Below are 8902 nucleotides of genomic sequence, written 5' to 3'. Positions count from 1 at the left end.
CACAAGGTCTGCCTTTTGGCTTTGTAAGTTGTAGACCAAGTGGTTGCGCTCATGGTTTAGAGTTGAGTGCTTGTGGCTTTTCTAGGCAAAGGATGCAAGCTGTGAGTGAATCTACCATTCTGGGTTCTGGAAGGTGATTCCCCTTTCCTGCCACTCCACTAAGAAGTACCCTGGTAGGGACTCTATGTGGTATTCCAATCTCACACTTCCCTTCAGCATTGCCCTAGTAGAGTTTCTCTGTGGAGGCTCTATCCCTAAAACAGGCTTTTGCGTGGACACTTAGGTTTTTCCATATATCCTCTGAAATACAGGTGGAAGCCACCAAGCCTCCTCTACTCTTACATTCTGAGCATCTAAAAACTGAACACCTTGTGGAAACCACCAAGCCTTATGGCTTTTGCTCTCCTGAGCTGTGGCCTAGGTTGTGCCTGCACCCCTTTGAGCTGAGGCTGAGGCTGGAGTGGCCAGGATGCAGAGAATGGTGTCCTGAGGCTAAGCAGAAGGGTGGCACTCTGGGCCTGGCACTTGAAAGCATTCTTTCCTCCTATGCCTTTGTGCCTTTGATGGGGTGGGGGTTTCTTAGAAAGATCTCTGAAATGCCTTTGAGTCTTTTTCCAATTATCTTCGATTTTAGCACTTGGTCCTTTTACAGTCATGTTAATCTCTCTAACAAGTGGTTGCTCCACAGTCTGCTTGGATTCTTTCTATCCTGAAATGCTTTTTTCCTGCTCTATCACATGGCCAGGTTGTGAATTTTCCAAACTTTTATGCTCTGCTTCTCTTTTAATGTAAGTTCCAACTTTAAGTCATGGCAGCAAATGGAAGCAACAGAGAGAGAAAGAGGCCAAACTTCATCTTTTTATTAAGAGCCCACTCCCAGCTACTCAGGAGGCTGAGGCAGGAGAATCGCTTGAACACGGGAGGCAGAGGTTGTGGTGAGTCGAGATTGTGCCACTGCACTCCAGCCTGGGCTACAGAGCAAGACCCTGTCTCAAAATTAAACAAACAAATAAATAAAATAAAATAAATAAATACATATTTTACACACTACAAATGTAACAACACAATACTCCTCCATTGAAAATACTAATTATATTAGCCAGATTGAATACATTATAGTCAGCTTCTTTGTTTGGGTTTATAAAGCAGTAAAGTCTAGCTGTTATTTATGTAAAACAGCTTTCCAAGAAATTTACTATGGATAATTATTGCCGATAACACATCTAAAATTTGAATGACAATCTATATAAATAAATTTTTAGACATTTTGTAAACTTCTATATGCGACATTAGCTATCTAAATAAAATGATGGAAACTCCTTAAAACAGACTCTTTAGAAGTAATTATTTCAATGATTTGAAAGTTATCTCAATGGATATATACAACTATAGGTGTTTTTGTTTTTTTTAAATGCATACCACATTACAGTCTTACTAATATTTAAAAAGACTTTCAGGATGAACATACTGAGTTTCTAATCAGCTCATTAAAAAGTAAAGTAAATTTCATTAACATTCTAGAGTAATTTCTGATATATTATACACTTTCAGCATTAAATTAATCAACAAATGGGAATAATATCAAAGCGTAAGCACAACACACAAATAATGATAAATAATTCTGTGCTTTTCACAGTCTACAATATAAACATCTATTCACAGCTTCTCTCAGCATCATTGAAATATCTTCTTAGCACTCTCTCTTCCAAAGCCTTTTTCACCTCAGGAGAGCATAAATGCCTGCACAAAACTGTGAACTTTTGGAGTTGTGAATCTCCTTGGTCAGTTAATCATAATGTTGCCTACACAACTGTATGGGTCAGCTGAAGTTCAGAAGAAAGGTGGCAATAAACCATTGGTAAAATTTCAGATGGTACGGTTAGAAAGAGGTCAACTACACAGGATAATCTAGAAGTGTATTGTCCCTCTTACCCAATATTTAGTCAGACTTTCATGCGCGTCCGTGTGAAGAGACCACCAAACAGGCTTTCTGTGAGCAACATGGCTGTTTATTTCACCTGGGTGCAGGCGGGCTGAGTCCGAAAAGAGAGTCAGTGAAGGGAGATAAGGGTGGGGCCATTTTATAGGATTTGGGTAGGTAAAGGAAAATTACAGTCAAAGGTGGTTTGTTCTCTGGCAGGCAGGAGTGGGGATCCCAAGGTGCTCAGTGGGGTTGCTTTTTGAGCCAGGATGAGCCAGGAAAAGGACTTTCACAAAGTAATGTCATCACTTAAGGCAAGGACCAGCCATTTACACTTCTTTTGTTGTGGAATGTCATCAGTTAAGGTGGGGCAGGGCATATTCACTTCTTTTGTGATTCTTCAGTTACTTCAGGCCATCTGGGCGTATACGTGCAAGTCACAGGGGATGCGATGGCTTGGCTTGGGCTCAGAGGCCTGACATTCCTGCCTTCTTATATTAATAAGAAAAATAAAACAAAATAGTGTTTAAGTGTTGGGGTGGCGAAAATTTTTGGGGGGTGATATGGAGAGAGAATGGGTGATGTTTCTCAGGGCTGCTTCAAGTGGGATTAGGGGCGGCGTGGGAACCTAGAGTGGGAGAGATTAAGCTGAAGGGAGATCTTGTTGGGTTGTTAGAAGAAACATTTGTTGTATAGAATGATTGGTGATGGCCTGGATACGGTTTTGTATGAATTGAAAAACTAAATGGAATAGCAGAAGGAGAAAAACAGGTATAAAAGGTCTAAGAATTGGGACGACTCAGGATATCTGATTAGAGAGTGCCTAGGAGATTCAGCATAGTCCTGCCAGCAAAGATTATTTATTTACTTCAAGAGTTAAGAGTGGCAGTTTGGGGATAGCACCAGGAGATATCAGCTGTGATGGCTTGGAAAAACAGTGTAAACCGGCAGTGTAAACAAGAGCAGGGCATGTATGAGTAGTTGAGAACAGTGAATAAGAGTGTGACTAGACAGAAGATAGTAGGGATGACAAGTTTTTTGGGGCACAGTCTAAGTTGGTCTGGTGTCTGGAATGAGACTGGGGCCTAATAAAAAGGAGCGTCTATACAGGAGCTTAAATGGGCTGTAGCCTGTAGCATTCCGAGGACAGGCCCTGAATTCTGAGAAGGGAAAGTGGTAAAAGTATTGTCCAGTCCTTTTTTGGTGGCTGAGCTTGGTGAGGTGTGTTTTTAAAAGACCTTTAGTCCATTCTACTTTTCTTGAAGACGGAGGACCATAAGGGATATAAAGGTTTCACTGAATACTAACAGCCTGAAAAACTGCTTGGCTGATTTGACTAATAAAGGCTCATCTGTTATCAGACTGTATTGAGGTGGAAAGGCTAAACTGAGGAATTATATCTGACAGAACGGAAGAAATGACTGTGGTGGCCTTCTCAGACCCTGTAGGAAAGGCCTCTACCTATCTAGTGAAAGTATCTACCTAGACTAAGAGGTATTTTAGTTATCTGACTCAGGGCATGTTGAGTAAAGCTAATTTGCCAGTCCTGGGTGGGGCAAATCCTCAAGCTTGATGTGTAGGGAAGGGAGGGGGGCCTGAATAATCCCTGAGGAGTAGTAGAATAGCAGATGGAACACTGAGAAGTTATTTCCTTGAGGATAGATTTCCACGATGCAAAGGAAATGAGAGGTTCTAAGAGGCGGGCTAGTGGCTTGTACTATAGTATAACCTGCCTTTGCTGGTGTGTGGCGATTAGGCCTGGTGGAACCGCCATCAATAAATCAAGTGTGATCAGGGTGAGGAACAGGAAAGAAGGAAATCTGGGGAAATGGGGTGAATGTCAGGTGGATCGGAGAGATACAGTCATGGGGGTCAGGTGTGGTATCAGGAATAATGTGGGAGGCCGGATTGAAGTCTGGGCCAGGAACAACGGTAATTGTAGGAGACTCAACAAAGAGTGAGTACAGCTGAAGGAGCCGGGGAGCAGAAAGTATATGCATCAGGTATGAGGAAGAAAATAGATTTTGGAAGTTATGAGAACTGTAGAGAGTGAGTTGAGCATAGTTCGTGATTTTGAGGGCCTCTAAAAGTATTAAAGCAGTGGCAGCCGCTGCACGCAGACATGAGGGCTAGGCTAAAACAGTAAGGTCAAGTTGTTTGGACAGAAAGGCTACAGGGTGCGGTCCTGGCTCTTGTGTAACAATTCTGACCGCGCTAACCATGCCTAGGAAGGAAAGGAGCTGTTTTGTAGAAGGTGCTTGGGTTTAAGAGATCAGTCGGACACGATTGGCAGGGAGAGCACGTGTGTTTTTATGAGAATTATGCCAAGATAGGTAACAGATGAAGAAATTTGGGCTTGATTGAAGTAATGGGGGCTGTCTGTGAAGCTTTGCGGCAGTACAGCCTAGGTAATTTGCTGAGCTTGATGGGTGTCAGGGTCAGTCCAAGTGAAAGCGAAGAGAGGCTGGGATTAAGGGTGCAAAGGAATAGTAAAGAAAGCATGTTTGAAATCCAGAACAGAATAATGGGTTGTAGAGGCAGGTATTGAGGATAGGAGAGTATATGGGGTATATGGGTTTGGCACCACGGGGTGGATAGGCAAAACAATTTGGTTGATAAGGCGCAGATCCTGAACTAACTTGTAAGGCTTGTCTGGTTTTAGGACAGGTAAAATGGGGGAATTGTAAGGAGAGTTTATAGGCTTTCAAAGGCCATGCTGTAGCAGGCGAGTGATAACAGGCTTTAATCTTTTTAAAGCATGCTGCGGGATGGGATATTGGCGTTGAGTGGGGTAAGGGTGATTAGGTTTTAATGAGATGGTAAGGAGTGCATGATTAGTCACCAAGGAGGGAGTAGAGGTATCTTATACTTGTGGGTTAAGGTGGGATACAAGAGGAGGACGCAAAGGAGTCTTTGAATTGGGAAGAAGGGCGGCAATAAGATATAGCTGTAGTCCAGGAAAAGTCAGGGAAGCAGATAATTTAAAGTGTCTCAGCCTAATAAGGGAACTGGGCAGGTGGGGATAACTAAAAAGGAGTGCTTAAAAGAGTATTGTCTAAGTTGGCACCAGAGTTGGGGAGTTTTAAGAGGTTTAGAAGCCTGGCCGTCAATACCCACAACAGTTATGGAGGCAAGGGAAACAGGCCCTTGAAAAGAAGGTAATGTGGAGTGGGTAGCCTCCACATTGATTAAGAAGGGGACTGGCTTACCTTCCACTGTGAGAGTTACCCGAAGCTCGGCGTCCGTGATGGTCTAGGGGGCTTCTGAGGCGATCTGGTAGTGTCAGTCTTCAGCCGCTAAGCCGAGAAGATCTGGGAAGGAGTCAGTCAGAGAGCCTTGGGCCAGAGTTCCAGGGGCTCTGGGAGTGGCTGCCAGGTGAGTTGAACAGTCCGATTTTCAGTGGGGTCCCACACAGATGGGACGCGGCTTAGGAGGAATCCTGGGCTGTGGGCATTCCTTGGCCCAGTGGCCAGATTTCCGGCACATGTAGCAAGCTCCTGTGGGAGGAGGTTCTGGAGGAACGCCTGGACGCTGCGGTTCAGGCGTTTGGAAGTTCTTGTGTGCTGGAGATGTGGCTGGGGTTTGTCTCACAGTGGAGGCAAGGAATTGCAACTTTTTTCTATTATTGTACACCTTGAAGGCGAGGTTAATTAAATCCTGTTGTGGGGTTTGAGGGCCGGAATTTAATTTTTTGAGTTTTATTTAATGTCGGGAGCACATTGGGTAATAAAATGTATTTTGAGAATAAGATGGCCTTTTGACCTTTTAGGGTCTAGGGCTGTAAAGCGTCTCAGGGTTGCTGCCAAACGAGCCATGAACTGGGCTGGATTTTTACATTTGATGAAAAAGAGCCTAAACGCTTCTGACTTGGGATAAAGAAAAGGAGCATTAACCTTGACTATGCCTTTAGCTCCAGCCACCTTTTTAAGAGTAAATTGCTGGTCAGGAGGGGGAGGGCTAGTCACGGAAGGAAACTGTAAGCTGGACCAGGTGTGAGGAGGGGAGGTGATAAAAAGATTATAGGGTGGAGGAGCAGAGGCTGAGGAAGAATTGGGACCTAGCTTGGCCTGGCGAGGAGCAGCCTGGGGAGGAAGGGAGAGGTCAGATGGGTCTGTAGAAAAGGAAGGTTAGAAAGACTCAGCGACGCTTGGGGTTGGTACTGAGGGGACAGGCGGGAGGGAAAGAAGGAAGATTTGGGACGAGTTGCACTGTGCGCAGAGACTAGGAAGGGACTGATGTGTAAAAGAATGCCTGGACGTCAGGCACCTCAGACCGTTTGCCTATTTTACGACAAGAATTATTTAGATTTTGTAGGATGGAAAAATTCAAAGTGCAATTTTCTGGCTATTTGGAACTACTGTCGAGTTTGTATTGGGGTCAAGCGGCATTGCAGAAGAAAATAAGGCATTTAGGTTTTAGGTGAGGTGTGAGTTGAAGAGGTTTTAAGTTTTTGAGAACACAGGCCAAGGGAGTAGAAGGAGGAATGGAGGGTGGAAGATTGCCCATAGTGAAGGAAGCAAGCCTAGAGAAAAGAGAGAGTAGAGAAATGGAGGGAAGGGGTTCGGGGGTTCTTACCTTCCAGAAAAGTGGGAAAAGGGGTTGGGGCACAGAGATAAGAGGTCGGGCGTGGAAATAAGGGATGGGGCGCAGAAATAAGAGGTCAGGGTGTGGAAATAAGGGATTGGGGCTCAGAGATATAAGAGGTTGGGGTGCGGAAATAAGGGATTGGGGTGCAGAGATATGAGGTTGGGGCACGGAAATAAGAGATTGGGGTGCAGAGATACGAGGTTGGGGCATGGAAATAAGGGATTGGGGTGCAGAGATAAGAGGTTGGGGTGTAGAAATAAGGGATTGGGGCACAGAGATAAGAGGTTGGGGTGCGGAAATAAGCGATTGGGGGGCAGAGATAAGAGGTTGGGGCGTGGAAATAAGGGATTGGGGGTTCTTGCCCCGTAGAAAAGTGGAACTTGCCGCTAAGGGTGAAGGAGAAGGGGTTGAGGGGTACTTGCCCCTCTCCCAGAAAAGCAGAGAAGGGGTAGAGACAAGGAGAGAAGGGGTTGGGGTACTTGCCCCTTCCCCAGAAAAGCGGGACTTGCCGCTAAGGGTGAAGGACCAAGGCAGGCGTCCCTGTGTGGTCTGACACCCTTGAAACGTGGGTGTATAATTGCACCCATTGCAGAGAGGCGTCCCTGCAATGATTAAACACCAAGGGAAGGCTGCCTTCCCAGTCCGTGACAGGCGCCGGAGTTTTGGGTCCACGGATAAAACATGTCTCCTTTGTCTCTCCCAGAAAATGAAAGGAATTGAAATTAAGAGAAGGGAGAGATTGAAGAGTGGAAAGGAGAAAGTTGTTGAGGGACAGTGAGAGAGGTTGGAGAAGAGAGTAAGAAGAGGCTGCTTACCTGATTTAAAATTGGTGACATGTTCCTTGGGCTGGTCGGTCTGAGGACCTGAGGTCATAGGTGGATCTTTCTCACGGAGCAAAGAACAGGAGTACAGGGATTGATCTCCCAAGGGAGGTCCCCCGATTCGAGTCACAGCGCAAAATTTCATGCACGTCCGTGTGAAGAGACCACCAAACAGGCTTTGTGTGAGCAACATGGCTGTTTATTTCACCTGGGTGCAGGCGGGCTGAGTCCCAAAAGAGAATCAGTGAAGGGAGATAAGGGTGGGGCCGTTTTATAGGATTTGGATAGGTAAAGGAAAATTACAGTCAAAGGGGGTTTGTTCTCTGGCGGGCAGGAGTAGGGGTCGCAAGGTGCTCAGTGGGGGTGTTTTTGAGCCAGGATGAGCCAGGAAAAGGACTTTCACAAGGTAATGTCATCATTTAAGGCAAGGACCAGCCATTTACACTTCTTTTGTGGTGGAATGTCATCAGTTAAGGTGGGAAAGGGCGTATTCACTTCTTTTGTGATTCTTCAGTTACTTCAGGCCATCTGGGCATATACGTGCAAGTCACAGGGGATGCGATGGCTTGGCTTGGGTTCAGAGGCCTGACAGAGTCCAGCATCAAATCTTAAGTCTAAATGTTTCAGTTTCAGTGTTCTTAGGGTTGCAACATTGCCCTGTTTTGTTGGTTGGATTAAATACATCATAACTTAAACATACTTAATGTGATTTTCTATTGCTAAGTGACCTCTTGTGATAACTAATTTTCTGGTTAAAAAAAGAAATTTTTAGCATCCTTTGTTATGCAATCATATTTGCAACCCCAAATTAGAATTCTTAGAATTTATGCTTTTTTAAAAATGGGAATGGTACATCCAGGGCTTCAGTGGACAGACATAAACAGCCAAGTGAGTCCTCATGTACGACACAGGATTTTCAAAGTAGAATATTCAAATGTTTGCTTCCTTGGTAACAAGCCATAGATATGGTAGTATTCACTCCTTCAGAGCTACTGCTTGGCTCTTGCTAGGTAACTAGAAAAAAATCTTGTATTGATCAATGTTAACTAGTAAAGTATAAGTTCATCCTGTGAACAAGCATGACAGCTAGAACATGAGACAGGTGTTCAGTTGTTGTTGTTGTTTTTCAGTTATTTTCATTGTTCTTTGTTTTCCCTCCTTTTATGAAAGGTCCTACTCTTTTGTTTTCCCCAGTCACTAAATTATCTCTCCAAAGTGCATCTTTATGAACAGGAACCTAGTCTCTTTGATCACTTATCTCAATAGAAATTGGGACTAACTTCTTATAGGATCAACTGATTTTTTTTCTAGTGAGTTTAATTTAGCAGCACACTAAGCTATTGTGATTAGGTGATAAATAAGAGGTTACTACTGCTTACATGACATGCCAGTGGAACAGACTATAGCATCCAAAAGTAGGCCCTCACTTATGTAATTTGTTGAAGTTCAAAAAGTCTTTGAAGTAATTCCATGAAGAAAAGCAACACTGGAAATGCTCTACATAAATATACAAGTTCCTGCAGTCTAGCCCTGAAGGATTCTGTATACATAAGTCCAAGTCAAGCTTCCTAAA

At 44.2% G+C, this 8902-nt stretch overlaps 4 annotated features.

The window, feature by feature from the left end:
- Positions 290–828: an enhancer, noted in NCBI's record as "NANOG hESC enhancer chr13:87017515-87018053 (GRCh37/hg19 assembly coordinates)". NCBI's record gives its function as "activates a minimal SCP1, AML or CMV promoter by ChIP-STARR-seq in primed H9 embryonic stem cells {active_cell/tissue: H9 hESC(primed)}" and the evidence as "EXISTENCE:reporter gene assay evidence [ECO:0000049][PMID:30033119]".
- Positions 1387–2386: an enhancer, noted in NCBI's record as "OCT4-NANOG-H3K27ac hESC enhancer chr13:87015957-87016956 (GRCh37/hg19 assembly coordinates)". NCBI's record gives its function as "activates a minimal SCP1, AML or CMV promoter by ChIP-STARR-seq in naive and primed H9 embryonic stem cells {active_cell/tissue: H9 hESC(naive and primed)}" and the evidence as "EXISTENCE:reporter gene assay evidence [ECO:0000049][PMID:30033119]".
- Positions 2387–2886: an enhancer, noted in NCBI's record as "OCT4-NANOG-H3K27ac hESC enhancer chr13:87015457-87015956 (GRCh37/hg19 assembly coordinates)". NCBI's record gives its function as "activates a minimal SCP1, AML or CMV promoter by ChIP-STARR-seq in primed H9 embryonic stem cells {active_cell/tissue: H9 hESC(primed)}" and the evidence as "EXISTENCE:reporter gene assay evidence [ECO:0000049][PMID:30033119]".
- Positions 7308–8138: an enhancer, noted in NCBI's record as "NANOG-H3K27ac hESC enhancer chr13:87010205-87011035 (GRCh37/hg19 assembly coordinates)". NCBI's record gives its function as "activates a minimal SCP1, AML or CMV promoter by ChIP-STARR-seq in naive H9 embryonic stem cells {active_cell/tissue: H9 hESC(naive)}" and the evidence as "EXISTENCE:reporter gene assay evidence [ECO:0000049][PMID:30033119]".

Source organism: Homo sapiens, chromosome 13 (assembly GCF_000001405.40).
Source record: "Homo sapiens chromosome 13, GRCh38.p14 Primary Assembly".
Taxonomy (NCBI): Eukaryota; Metazoa; Chordata; class Mammalia; order Primates; family Hominidae; genus Homo; species Homo sapiens.
Note: the sequence above shows the minus strand (reverse complement) of the source record. Positions and strands in the feature narration are given on the sequence as shown.